The following is a 14643-nucleotide window of genomic DNA, read 5'->3' on the forward strand; positions in this document are numbered from 1 at the left end:
TTATAACTCATTAACAGAAAAATCGAGCCACGTGCAAAGAATTCTTGTAGTCATCAATGAATAACACGTGGTTATTGTGTTACGATGCCTATAAAATAAAAAAAATTATCTGGAAGAGGGAAACGGGATAGAGCAGATCAGTGTGACTTGAACAGAGACTATGCCAGCCTCCCTATTCCAAATTGGAATACTGGCTCTGTGATGTGCTATAACTGTATTGTGAGGCTTATTCTAATGATTTTGGTAAATGTTAAAGACTCCTCCTGGGGTTGTGTTGAAATAACACACTGAATGGAGATGGTAGTTCATAAATTCTTTTTCTAGTGGTGGCAGTTAGTGTTATTGTAGTCTTTTTTTTTTTTTTTTTTTTTTTTTGAGATGGGATCTTTCTCTGTCTCCCAAGCTGGAGTGCAGTGGTGGGATCTTGGCTCACTGCAACCTCCACCTCTTGGGTTCAAGTGATTCTCCTGCCTCAGCCTCCCAAGTAGCTGGGATTACAGGCGTGCAACACCACACCCAGCTATTTTTACTTTTTTTTTTTTTTTTTTTGAGACAGAGTTTCGCTTTTGTTGCCCAGGCTGGAGTGCAATGGCGTGATCTCACCTCACTGCAACCTCCACCTCCTGGGTTCAAGCAATTCTTCTGTCTCAGCCTCCTGACTAGCTGGGATTACAGGCATGTGCCACCATGCCCGGCTAATTTTGTATTTTTAGTAGAGACGGAGTTTCTCCATGTTGGCCAGGCTGGTCTCGAACTCCCGACCTCAAGTGATCTGCCTGCCTCAGCCTCCCAAAGTGCTGGGATTACAGGCATGAACCACTGCACCCGGCCTAATTTTCATATTTTTAGTAGAGACGGAGTTTCACCATGTTGGCCAGGCTGGTCTTAAACTCCTGACCTCAAGTGATCCACCCACCTCGGCCTCCCAAACTGCTGGGATTACAGATGTGAGCAACCGCGCCTGGCCAAACTTTTTTTCTTTTTTTTTTTAAGACTCTTACAAGACTAACTCATAGCAATATTCTGAAGCTGTGACAAGTTAGTATCCTGGAGGCTATCTTGGTAGAGGTTTCATGATGCCACCCTGATGCCACCTCTCTTCCTCTTTACAGTAGTATAACTCTTTGCTCTTATTTTTTCATAGCTTAAATTCTCATCCTAGCAATTCACGTATGCTTTACAAGGGATGTATAGGATTGAAACATTTTGAATTAATGATTTCAGAAAGGTGAGTTTTGACTAGGAGAAAGGAAGGTGGAGGAAAAAACATTCTCAGCCAGAAAACTTCTTTTTCCCAAAGTTCAAGATAAGAAAACATCCAACATCCTGTTGGAGGTAAGTGGGAAAGAAGTAGCAGTTGGAGCCTTGAAAGTCAGAAACCAATGAACGGAACAGCCTGAGTAATGGACCCGACTCGTGGAAGGCTGCCAAGCTGGAGAGTGAGGGGACGGAGACAGAAATATGGCGTGATGAGTTCGTGGGAAGGTCAAACTCGCTGGCCTTTGAGGAAGAGCTTTTGAGGTGCAACTTCCTGGCATGCAGTGAGCAGAAGGCAGGCCAGGACAGGAGCTGACTCCCGAGCAGGGGACACAGTGAATTTGTGGCATTTGTTACCAATCTCGGAGTTCACTGTGCACAGTCTCCACACTAGGCATTTACTTTTTCATATGTCCGAAAAAATGTCTGCACACTTCATTTCTGTCCAGTAAGAACTGATAATCAGGGATTTGAAGGGGCCTAGTTTGGAAATTTTCAATGGGTGAAAATAAGTGAGCAAAATTACATTTATACTAAAATATAATTCTTTCCATCTGCTCCATAGTGGGATAGCCTCTTGAGGCAACTTCCAATTAGAATGTCATTTTAGATGCTTTCCAAGATGGCAGATGGGTGAGTACTAGGGTGTGCAGGGAAGATCAATAAACAGCTCTGGCAATTCATCGTGCGCCTAACACCAAGGAATACTTCAGTGGAAGAGCTCTCATTTTGTTGGGATGAATAAAATTAAATAAAAGTACACAGTACCCAATAAAGGAACAAAAGCTTAGGCTTTGGTCAAGCAGAACAAAAGGGGCTAATGAGAAAAGGACTATGTATTACAGTTTTCTTCTCTCAGTTCTCAACTAGGTTTTATTAGTGGAGTTCCCAAAAGATTTGGACCAAATTTCCAATTCAGATATTATTAGAGATCATCAAAACTCAAATCTCTTTACTGGTTTACACCAAATCACCCAAGCTTCCAGCCTAAAACCCACATGCTCACATGGTTCCACAGTGCTGTTTATGTACAATAACCAGTTCTCAAAATGGTAATCCTGTTAGAAGCCAGAATCCTCAGCCTCTAGCATGTGTGCTTTTCACAGAGATAAGTCTCAAAGTTTGGGGTTGGTGAGGAGCCCAGTATACAGGAGTTCCACATTAAGTCATAATTGGCTTTGTGTTGGACAGTGTATGTCAGCTGGTGAAATCAGGCACAGAAGAGATAAGGGTTTCTTGTCATAACAACATAGGAACAGGTCACCCGCGTGTTACTCAAAACTGTAGGACGGCAGTGAGGGCTTTGCTAATCCCAGAACAGAGGTGTAACCTGGCTGCATATCCAGCCTCGAGAAAATGTCTACAGCAGATCTGATGGAGAACCTCAGGGAGGAACTCACCTGTTTCATCTGCTTAGACTATTTCAGCAGCCCAGTGACCACCGAGTGTGGGCACAGCTTTTGTCTGGTGTGTCTCCTCAGGAGCTGGGAGGAACATAACACACCTTTATCTTGTCCTGAGTGCTGGAGGACCTTGGAGGGCCCGCATTTCCAGTCAAACGAGCGTCTGGGGAGGCTGGCCAGCATCGCCAGGCAGCTCCGGTCCCAGGTGCTGCAGAGCGAGGATGAGCAGGGCAGCTACGGGAGGATGCCCACCACTGCCAAGGCGCTCTCCGATGACGAGCAGGGTGGAAGCGCCTTCGTAGCCCAGAGCCATGGTGCAAACAGAGTGCATCTCTCCAGCGAGGCTGAGGAGCATCACAGAGTAAGACAGCTGCTCAGCATGAACCCCACGACTCATCGCAGCTAACTCCGTTAGCTTTCCTGACGTTTCCTAACGTCCTCTGTGGGGGACAGTCACGAGGGCCCATCTGAGCACCACATCACAAACTGGCGTGGGTCCAGTTTACACCCTTTTTTTTCCCTTTTTTTGTTTTTGAGACAGAGTTTTGCTCTGTTGCCCAGGCTGGAGTGCAGCAGTGCGATCTCAGTCACTGCAACCTCCGCCTCCCAGGTTCACGCCATTCTCCTGCCTCAGCCTCCCCAGTAGCTGGGACTACAGTCACCCACCACCACGCCCGGCTAATTTTTTGTATTTTTAATAGAGACGGGGTTTCACCATGTTGGCCAGGCTGGTCTTGAACTCCTGACCTCAGGTGATCCGCCTGCCTCGGCCTCCCAAAGTGCTGGGATTACAGGCGTGAGGCGCCGCACCCAGCCTGCCCTTTGTTTTAGAGGCCTAGGACTGCGCAGTTACTGGTCTTCAAAGCCCCTTCATGACCTGGGACTCTGCTCATTTGCCAGAAAGGGTTTGTTTCTATTGCAGGAGAAACTCCAGGAAATCCTGAATCTTTTGCGTGTAAGGAGAAAGGAAGCTCAGGCTGTACTAACCCATGAGAAGGAGAGAGTGAAACTGTGCCAGGTCGGTGTCTGTCTGACTTTTGCTGCTTGTATATGACCCCATAAGGGGGACTAAAGGGAAATTTAGTGAAATATCAGGAAAAAAAAAAGACAAATTTTTCCAGTCTCACCTCTAAAATATGCAGTTTCCTTGCATTGGGCTGCCTTCTTCTGAGCGTCCTCGTGGGAGTCTCAAGGCTCAGCTGCAATTCGCCCCCTCTAGGAGCCTCCTTTGCATAACTAGACAACGCTGTGGCTTCCTCTATGATGGCTCTGGTAGAATTATTTAAAACACAAGTGATACTTATAGACATGTAACATGAGACGGAAAGCGATTTTAAAAAGAAATATCTCAAAAACATGGAGGGGAAAATGCAAATTAAAAAAAATAAAGAGACAGAGATATAAAAGCAAAATAGTGGTTTAAATGATACCTGACAAGTCCTCAAGGTTGGTCACGGACTTGGATTTGAGCTCTCCAGCAGTCAAAGCAAAGGACTAAATATCAAATTATATATTTTTTAAAACCATGTATCTGATTCTCCCAATAGACTTTGAAATCTGTTTTTTTTTTTTTTTTTTTGGAGATGGAGTCTCTCTCTGTCGCCCAGGCTGGAGTGCAGTGGCGCGATCCCGGCTCACTGCAACCTCCACCTCCCGGGTTCAAGTGATTCTCCTGCCTCAGCCTTCTGAGTAGCTGGGATTACAGACGTGTGCCACCATGCCCAGCTAATTTTGTATATTTGTGGAGATGGGGTTTTACCATGTTAGCCAGGCTGATCTCGAACTCCCGACCTCAGGTAATCCACCTGTCTCGGTCTCCCAAAGTGCTGGGATTACAGGTGTGAGCCACCGTGCTTGGCCGTAGACTTTGAATTCTTAAGTGAGAGTATTTGCCATGTATGTTTCTGTTCCTTTTTGGTTATCTGACACCTACTTTCATTGAATAAATATTTGTTGAATAAATGAACACACATTTTTCATAATTTTTCTTAATTTTGTTTTATTTGTATCATAGTCCTGATCACTACTTGTCATATTTCTTACTCATTTTTGGTTTTCTCCACTAGAACGACCGCCTCCTGGGAATGGAGATTTTGGTTTTGTTTACTATTGTATCTATAGCGCACATACCTCCGAAAACATCAACCTCTACACCCAGCGCATCAACAGATTAAATGTATTATATGTTGGATTTCAGGAATTGTTGCCATGAAACTCTAGGACTTGGCCAGGCATGGTGGCCCACACCTGTAATCCCAGCACTTTGGGAGGCTGAGGAGGGTGGGTCACCCGGTCAAGAGACTTGAGACAATCCTGACCAACATGGTGAAACCCCATCTTTACTAAAAATACAAAAATTAGCTGGGCGTGGTGGCACACTCCTAGACTATAGTCCCAGCTACTCAGGAGGCTGAGGCAGGAGAATCATTTGAACTCAGGAGGCAGAGGTTGCAGTGAGCCGAGATTGCGCCACTGCACTTCAGACTGGCGACAGAGTGAGACTCCATCTCAAAAAAAAAAAAAAAAAGAAAGAAAGAAACTCTAGGACTTGTAAGGATTAAAAATCTACAGACAAGGGCATTTCTCTTACTAACTTTATCTCGTGTGTGTGTGTGTGTGTGTGTGTGTGTGTGTGTGTTTTGGCAGGAAGAAACAAAGACTTGTAAACAGGTTGTTGTGTCAGAATACATGAAAATGCACCAGTTCCTGAAGGAAGAGGAGCAGCTGCAACTCCAGCTACTAGAACAGGAAGAGAAAGAGAACATGAGGAAGCTGAGGAACAATGAGATCAAACTGACCCAGCAAATCAGAAGCCTAAGCAAAATGATCGCACAGATTGAGTCCTCAAGTCAAAGCTCGGCTTTCGAATCTCTTGAGGTGAGAATAACATTCATGAGAGTAATGGGAAAAATTATAGTAACTCATAGTACTTCAAGCCATAGGAAATAATGTTTTCTTTATTCATCTTAAAAACTAAGTTCTGGTCCAAAAGTAGTTTTCCTAAAGAATTGACATTCTATATGTCAATAAAGCCTTATAGAAGAGAGAGAGAGAGAAAAAAAAAAACACATCCAGAGGAATAACTATCCCAAACAAGCCTGAGAGTGGCTTCAATTTCTTCTGTACCTGCCTCTCTGCAACCTCAGCTTTGTTAATTTTTTTTTCTAGTTTATTAATGTGTATTTACTATGTGCTGGGCACATTAAATTTAATCTTCACAAAGACCTGATGAAGATAAGTACCATTATGATATGAACTCTAGGTCTAGATGACTGTCATCTACAGGATGGGTTAATAGCGGCACTGATTTAATTATTCATACCTGTGGTACTAACGAGATCTGCCCGCCTGATAGTTAATAGACAGGAGAGCCCTCCTGTTCTGTGCAGGGAGCTCCTATTTCTCACCACCTTTGGTCTACTGCCCTTCTAGGCTGCTGCATTCTTCAGGACCTTTTTTTTTTTTTTTGAGACAGAGTCTCGCACTGTCGCCCAGGCTGGAGTGCAGTGGTGCAATCTTGGCTCACTGCAATCTACGCCTCCTGGGTTCAAGCAATTCTCTTGCCTCAGCCTCCCAAGTAGCTGGGATTACAGGCGTGTGCCACCATGCCCAGCTAAGTTTTGTATTTTTAGTAGAGACGGGGTTTCACAATGTTGGCCAGGATGGTCTCTATCTCTTGACCTTGTGATCCATCCACCTTGGCCTCCCAAAAGGCTGGGATTACAGGCGAGAGCCACCGGCACCCGGCCGTGGACTTTCTTAAACATAAGCCATGTGATCCAACTCCAGCTTCAGGTCTGTTTTGTAGACTGGTTCCACAGAGTGCTACTATTTAATTTAGTGCCTTCCAAACACACCACCCCGACCTGACACAGGCTTGGTTAGCCTCAGTTCTCACCAGCCCATTTTCCTTTGTTATCTCTGCCTCTCACTGGATGATCGAGACTAACAGGTTGGCTTGTTTGCAGAACAGGTTCCCTGGACAAGGTGATGATACGAGAAAAAGAAAAGGACAAAGTATTCTCTAGTCATTGTGAGAAACACCTTGTGTTCACCACAGCACATCCCTGGAAGAAACTGGGGACGCTTTTCTCTGCTCTCTGTGCTCCCACTCATGGTGTGCTTCATGGGAAGCAGATTCTGTGAGCTTTGCAAGGACTGTATGCAAAATGAATTTCGTCTGTGTTATGATCAAAGCGCACCATGCTAACTTCTTTCTTTTTTACCCGTAGGAAGTGAGAGGAGCCCTGGAAAGGTAGGCTTTCATTCTGTGTTCAGTTATGCAAGCTGCGGGGCAGTGGTGCTGATGGACAGTTCTGAGTGGGGATAGGAGGTCTGCGCTGTTGCTGGGGGAGAAATGAGGTGGACTCTCCAGCTGGAGCAGGTCACGCGGTCTGTGCCGAGGAGTGAACCTCTCTGCTCTCTTGCAGGAGCGAGCCACTCTTGCTTCAGTGTCCAGAGGCCACCACCACAGAGCTGAGTCTGTGCCGCATCACGGGAATGAAGGAGATGCTAAGAAAATTCAGCAGTAAGTCAGCCTGATTTGTTACCCCTCCGGGGCTCGAAGAATTAACTTCAGCATACCTTCTTCCAGTGTCAGACATTCACGATCTGACACGAGGCTCCTGGTTAAGGAATCCGGGCCAGCACGGAACACCAGGGAGGGCTGGGGCCACAGACCGTCTCTGAGCGTGAGCAGAGAGAAGCAGTGAGACTTGACTCAGGCTTTATCTGGCTTTGTTTTCTGTCTAAAGGGTCTTTTTTTTTTTTTCTTTGAGACGGAGTCTCACTCCGTGTCCCGGGCTGGAGCGCAGGGGCGCGATCTCGGCTCACTGCAAGCTCCGCTTCCCGGGTTCACGCCATTCTCCTGCCTCAGCCTCCCGAGTAGCTGGGACTACAGGCGCCCGCCACCACGCCTGGGTAATTTTTTGTATTTTTAGTACAGACGGGGTTTCACTGTGTTAGCCAGGATGGTCTCGATCTCCTGACCTCGTGATCCGCCCGCCTCGGCCTCCCAAAGTGCTGGGATTACAGGCGTGAGCCACTGCGCCCAGCCAATCCTAGTCCTTTCTTTGTTGGTTTTGTCATTGTCTTTTCCATCCCCCCCTTGCACGTGCAGACACGCCCCCCTCATGCAGGGGCGTCTACATTTCTAGCTCTGATCCCGTTAGGATGAAAGCTGACTTAAATTCTAAAATCCCAGTGAGGGTGCATTCAACGAACTGTCCTTGTAGAATGCTCCAGATGTTTAGTCCAGCCAACACTGAGAGACGTCAGGATTAGTTCTCAGCTTTTATCTTGTGGACAATCTGACCTTCAGAGGAAGAGGCCTAATGAGCTTTGAACTCCAGAGTGCTGAATAAAGCCCTGCCATGGGCCCCGGCACTATGCTACTGGGCTCTGCGCTTACTTACAATGATAAGTAAGGCAGATTTTGCCTTTCCTTTTGTAGAATTTTCAATGAAATTGAGGAGGAAGGCATTAATCACACAGATAATTAGTTATGGTGGGATCTGGTCTATAAATAAAAGTATGAAATGGTATGATTGGGGCCGGGTGCGGTGGCTCACGCTTGTAATCCCAGCACTTTGGGAGGCCAAGGCGGGCAGATCACTTGGGGTCAGGAGTTCGAGACCAGCCTGGCCAACATGGTGAAACTGCGTCTCTGCTAAAAATACAAAAAAAAATTAGCTGGGAGTGATGGTGGGCACCTGTAATCCCAGCTACTCGGGAGGCCTAGGCAGGAGAATCACTTGAACCCAGGAGGTGGAGGTTGCAGTGAGCAGAGATGGCGCCATTGCATTCCAGCCTGGGCGACAGAGCGAGACTCCGTCTCAAAAAAAAAAAAAAAAAAAAAAAAAAAAAAAAAAAGTCAGAAATGGAATGACTGGGGTACCTGATCTTGTCTGGACAGTGAGTGGAAGTTGGAATCCTCAGCCAGGCATGGTGGCTCATGCCTGTAATCCCAGCACTTTGGGAGACTGAGGTGGGTGGATCACCCGAGGTCGGGAGTTTGAGACCAGCCTGGCCAGCATGATGAAACCCCATCTCTACTAAAAATACAAAAAACTAGCCGGGCGTGGTGGTGGACAAGACTACTACTCGGGAGGCTGAGGCAAGAGAATCACTTGAACCTGGGAGACGAGGTTGCAGTGAGTCAAGATCGCGTCATTGCAGTCCAGGCTGGGCAACAAGAGCAAAACTGTCTCAGGAAAAAAATAAAAAAATAAAAGGAGGCCCCATATGTGACTGTCGGTTCACAGACTATGTGTGCTTCATCACATGGTCCCTGGGTGCTGCACTGAACTCACAGGAAGCTGCATTTGTCATGACATAATGAAAAAGGCTGATTAGGGATTGTGATTTGTGATTTGAACACTCAGTAACCGTGTAATCTTGGTGAAGTTTCCTAACCTTCCTGAACCTGTTTTCTTTTTTGTAAAAATTATAGAAAAGAATGCTTGCAGTGATTAAATGAGATAATGTACAGAAAATGTTTGGCACATTAGAAGTTCAGCCAAAGATAAGTGCTATTTTCTCTCCCACCCAAACTGAAGAACCAGAACCTCCCATGGCTAATATGATGCGAACAACCAAGGGTGTCCCTATGTGGACGCACAGCTCGGAGCTCTAAAGATGTCCTGTGAACAGAGCGACGCCCATTCCACCCACAGGGATTCTCCTCCCCACCTCAGGCAGGCTAAAGCTCCTTCTCCACGTGGCTCTTCTCTCTGTCTCCATTTAGAGCTTCATGCTATGTGTTGTGGAACAGTCAAAGAAGAGCTCAGAAATTTTGTTCTCAACCAAATACTGTTTTTTTCTGAAACTGAGTCTTGCTCTGTCGCCCAGGCTGGAGTGCAGTGGTATAATCTTGGCTCACTGCAACCTCCACCTCCTGGGTTCAAGCAATTCTCGTGCCTCAGCCTCCTGAGTAGTTCGGATTACAAGCACGTGCCACCATGCCTGGCTATGTTTTGTATTTTTAGTAGAGACGGGGTTTCACCATGTTGCCCAGGCTGGTCTTGAACTCCTGACCTTGTGATCTGCCTGCCTCACCCTCCCAAAGTGCTGCATTACAGGCGCGAGCCATCACGCCCGGCCCCAAATTACATTTAAAAAACCAGGACTAAATACTAAGAATTCAATGGAAATCTCACATACCTAAGAGGTTTTTCAAGCATGCCCAAGGGAAATCTCTTCTTTCCTCCTCTTGCAGCGGAGATAACGCTGGACCCAGCCACAGCTAATGCCTATCTCGTGTTGTCGGAGGATCTGAAGAGTGTGAAATATGGGGGAAGCAGACAGCAGCTACCCGACAACCCGGAAAGATTTGACCAGTCTGCGACTGTGCTGGGTACTCAGATCTTCACCAGTGGGAGACACTACTGGGAGGTGGAGGTGGGAAACAAGACCGAGTGGGAAGTGGGCATCTGCAAGGACTCTGTGAGCAGAAAGGGGAATCTCCCCAAGCCACCTGGGGACCTGTTCTCACTAATAGGTTTAAAAATCGGAGATGATTACAGCCTCTGGGTCTCGTCACCTTTGAAAGGTCAGCACGTCAGAGAGCCTGTGTGTAAGGTTGGTGTCTTCCTGGACTATGAATCTGGACATATAGCATTCTACAACGGGACGGATGAATCCCTCATCTACAGCTTCCCGCAGGCTTCTTTCCAAGAGGCCCTCAGGCCTATCTTTTCCCCCTGCCTCCCAAATGAGGGGACAAACACAGACCCTCTCACCATCTGCTCACTGAACAGCCACGTCTGAGGGGCGTGCCCTGAGCCGTCACAGCGGGCGATGTCTGAGACCAAGACACAACTATTAAGACGATGAAGGCATCGACAGTATTAATGTCAGGTGATCTGAAATAAACTCCCGTAACCCCACCCCACCCCCAAGAGTTTCCATTAACTTGATCCCATTATGAACAGCCACATTACACAATCAACTTCAACCCCAATAGAAGAGAGCTGATCATATTCTGTGTCTTTAAGTAAATGTATTCTCTGGGCTACCCCATGTGTGTGCTGGTCACTCAAATATTGAGCCCCTATTACCATGAATCCTACTGCCATAGGCCAGATTTTATAAATATATGTCACTTTTTCAAGTGTATTTAATTATTTGACTCTTAAAAACTGTGCTGCTCGAATGTGTCTTTGTCCTCCGTGCAGAGCTCCGCATGCTGGGGCAACGCAAATCCATCTGGGGAAACTGAGGCATGGACACATCTTTTCAGGGTGTGTGAGAGGGCTCAGATCTCATCCTTCTCCCAAAAGCCATTTTCCTTCCCATCCCATGAGCCTGCAGTGTTTGTACTCAGGAAGGCTTATATGTTCAGAACACTGCAAATATTTGTGTGAATGTCGTCATACCATTCATGCTTCCATAATCACAACAGGCTGGAACCTTCCATTAATATGTTAAAAGGTGACAGAGCAAAGTGTCTGTTCAGTAAATGTATCATGACACGGGATGCCAAGCGACTATATTGCATTGTATATAAGGTTCTTTTCGGTGCTTTTGTGGTTTGCTGTAAGCAGAAGGCTTTCAATCTCCAGAAGGCCAAAGAGCCTACCCTCTTCTTATCTCAAAACGTCAGGGTTGGCCGGATGCGGTGGCTCATGCCTGTAATCCCAGCACTTTGGGAGGCCGAGGTGGGTGGATTACCTGAGGTTGGGAGTTTGAGACCAGCCTGACCAACATGGAGAAACCCCTTCTCTACTAAAAATACAAAAATTAGCTGGGCATGATGGCACATGCCTGCAATCTCAACTACTCGGGAGGCTGAGGCAGCAGAATTGCTTGAACCCGGGCGGCGGAGGTTGCAGTGAGCGGAGATCATTCCATTGCACTCCACCCTGGGCAACAAGAGTGAAACTCCATCTCAAAAAAAAAGAAGTCAGGTTTTGTGAGGAAGTGGTGGTGGCTGAGGGGAGCTCTTTTGGCTGGTGGTCTGCATTAGGCTCGCTGTCTTTAGTGATCTATCCCTGCAGGTGTTTGTTTGTTTGTTTTAAGATGCAATCTCGCTCTGTCACCCAGGCTGGAGTGCAATGGAGCGATCGCAGCTCACTGCAACCTCCACCTCCGGGGTTCAAGCAATTCTCCTGCCTCAACTTCCCAAGTAGCTGGGATTACAGGCACTTGCCATCATTCCCGGCTAGTTTTTATGTTTTTGTAGAAACAGGGTTTCACCATTTTGGCCAGGCTGGTCTTGAACCCCTGACCTCAGGTGATCTGCCCATCTTGGCCTCCCAAAGTGCTAGGATTACAGGTGTGAGCCACCGTGCCCAGGCTTTTTTTTTTTTTTTTTTTTTTTTTTTGAGACGGAGTAGTCTTGCTCTGTCACCCAGGCTGGAGTGCAGTGGCGCGATCTCAGCTCACTGCAAGTTCTGCCTCCTGGGTTCACGCCATTCTCCTGCCTCAGCCTCCCGAGTAGCTGGGACTAAAGGCGCCCACCACCACGCCCGGCTAAGTTTTTGTATTTTTTTTTTTAGTAGAGACGGGGTTTCACCGTGTTAGCCAGGATGGTCTTGATCTCCTGACCTCGTGATCCACCCGCCTCCACCTCCCAAAGTGCTGGGATTCCAGGCGTGAGCCCCCGCGCCTGGCCCAGCCTTTGTTTTTAAATGGAATGTTCCCTTGCTAGTACTGCAGAATGTCCCCGGTCACAGAGGGTATCCCTTTACCTCCTCTCATCTCTCAGATAAGCCATTGTCCTAAGGCAGGCAAGACAGTGGATACGATTTAACCACCACTCCAGACTGTGTTATTACTAAGATGTTTAGGAAAAATGTTTATCAGAGTTTTGTCTGTAAATTGGAGACTCGGTTGGAAAGAAATTAATAATTCAACCTGTTAATCAGCACACAAGGCCTTAAAAAGAGGTCTGTGAAATAAAGAGGGTTTACTGTAGGGTGCGCTTATCCTTCTCACCCATCTGAATCTGCTTTCTCTTGCCACTCTATACGTTTCAATCTTGTGTCCTCGAAGGCAGGGGAGCAAAGAAGAAACAGGCTCAAGAGTCTGGGAAATGCTGTCTCCTGTGCTTTGCATTCACCATTTAATTCCCACCCTGAATTCAGCATTTAATTCCCACCTTGACATCACGCACAATCAGAGTTTGAGACTTGCAGAGGGGAGCCCAGCACGTCCTCCTTAGACTATCTGTGGCCCACTGTGTTTCCTTCTTATTTATGTATTTATTTATTTATTTGAGATGGAGTCTGGCTCTCTCGCCAGGCTGGAATGCAGTGGCGCCATCTTGGCTCACCGAAACCTCTAACCCCTGGGTTCAAACGATTCTCCTGCCTCAGCCTCCCGAGTAGCTGGGACTACAGGTGCTCGCGCACCACCATGCCCAGCTAATTTTTCTATTTTTATAGAGACAGGGTTTCACCATGTTGGCCAGGATGGTCTTGATCTCCTGACCTCCTGATCCGCCCACCTCAGCCTCCCAAAGTGTTGAGATTAGAGACGTGAGCCACCGCGCCCGGCCTTATTTTATTTATTTTTAAAAATTATTATTATTATTTTTTGAGACAGAGTTTTGCTCTTTTACCCAGCCTGGAGTGAAGTGGCATGATCTCGGCTCACTGCAGCCTCCTCCCCACAGGGTTCAAGTAATTCTCCTGCCTCAGCCTCCTGAGTAGCTTAATCCCCATAGGCATGCACCACCACACCCAGCGAATTTTTGTATTTTTAATAGAGATGGGGTTTTGCCATGTTGGCCAGGCTGGTCTTGAATTCCTGACCTCAAGTGATCCACCCGCCTCAGCCTCCCAAAGTGCTGGGATTACAGGCGTGAGCCACCGCACCTGGGCCCCACTTATTAGACAGATTTTATATCTTGATTTCTCACCTCAAAAAGCTAAGAAACAAAATGATAAAAAGCAAACAGCAACCATTTGGAATACATCTTTTCTCAATTACCAAAAATCCCAGTTTTGTGGAGGGACTAAATAAATACAAAAGTAATACATTTTACTTTGTGGGCATTACATCTCATTGTAGCATAATCCAGTGATACATCCTTTCCTTTCCTTCTTTGTCCCAAAGTGGTAGATACTGACAAAGAGTCTAGCCTAATTTTTCCTTTGGCAAAATCATCCCCAGTGGCTCTTTGCTGCACCATTGTGTACACAGGGCCTGCCACTGATGAGGTGTGTGGGGAAGATTGAATCTATAGGATCAACCTTTGGAGTTTGAATAAACCACCAAGAAAACTTTGCAAGAAAATTGCCACTCACAGTTTCTGGATACAAACTCCAAGGTGATGAGACGTGGGGGTGAGAAGGGGAGTGAGAGTTGGGGGTGAGAATGGGAGTGAGAGTTATGGGTGAGAAGGGCAGTGAGAGTTGGGGGTGAGAAGGAGAGTGAGAGTGGGGGTGAGAAGGGGAATGAGAGTGGGGGTGAGAAGGGGAGCGAGAGGGGGGGTGAGAAGGGGAATGAGAGTGGGGGTGAGAAGGGGAATGAGAGTGGGGCTGAGAAGGGGAGTGAGAGTGGGGGTGAGAAGGGGAGTGAGAGTGGGGCTGAGAAGGGGAGTGAGAGTGGGGGTGAGAAGGGGAGTGAGAGTGGGGGTGAGAAGGGGAGTGAGAGAGGGGTTGAGAAGGGGAGTGAGAGTGGGGGTGAGAAGAGGAATGAGAGTGGGGGTGAGAAGGGGAATGAGAGTGGGGGTGAGAAGGGGAGTGAGAGTGGGGGTGAGAAGGGGAGTGAGAGTGGGGGTGAGAAGGGGAGTGAGAGTGGGGCTGAGAAGGGGAGTGAGAGTGGGGGTGAGAAGGGGAATGAGAGTGGGGGTGAGAGGGGGAGTGAGAGAGGGGGTGAGAAGGGAAGTGAGAGTGGGGGTTGAGAAGGGGAGTGAGAGAGAGGGTGAGAAGGGGAGTGAGAGTGGGGGTGAGAAGGGGAGTGAGAGAGGGGTTGAGAAGGGGAGTGAGAGAGGGGGTGAGAAGGGGAGTGAGAGTGGGGGTGAGAAGGGGAGTGAGAG

The 14643-nt window shown here is 47.3% G+C and overlaps 1 protein-coding gene across 5 annotated transcripts; it reads left to right on the forward strand.

Annotated features, from left to right (window-relative positions):
- TRIML1 (tripartite motif family like 1) lies at window positions 284-13822 on the forward strand. 5 transcript variants are annotated; one of them, XM_024454028.1, is made up of 8 exons: window positions 284-300; window positions 1225-1335; window positions 2739-3021; window positions 3583-3678; window positions 5307-5537; window positions 6893-6915; window positions 7091-7188; window positions 9877-10798. In XM_024454028.1, the coding sequence occupies exons 3-8, from the start codon at window positions 2905-2907 to the stop codon at window positions 10425-10427; spliced, it is 1116 nt and encodes a 371-aa protein (XP_024309796.1). In that variant the 5' UTR covers window positions 284-300; window positions 1225-1335; window positions 2739-2904; the 3' UTR covers window positions 10428-10798. The 5 variants fall into 5 exon arrangements, 4 of the variants coding, with proteins under 4 accessions (XP_024309796.1, XP_011530221.1, XP_006714270.1 ...); XM_011531919.2 differs by lacking the exon at window positions 284-300 and having other exon boundaries at window positions 1029-1335; XR_001741216.2 differs by lacking the exons at window positions 284-300; window positions 1225-1335 and adding an exon at window positions 13806-13822 and having other exon boundaries at window positions 2496-3021; window positions 9877-10517.

The sequence above is a fragment of the Homo sapiens genome, chromosome 4, assembly GCF_000001405.40.
Source record: "Homo sapiens chromosome 4, GRCh38.p14 Primary Assembly".
Lineage (NCBI taxonomy): Eukaryota > Metazoa > Chordata > Mammalia > Primates > Hominidae > Homo > Homo sapiens.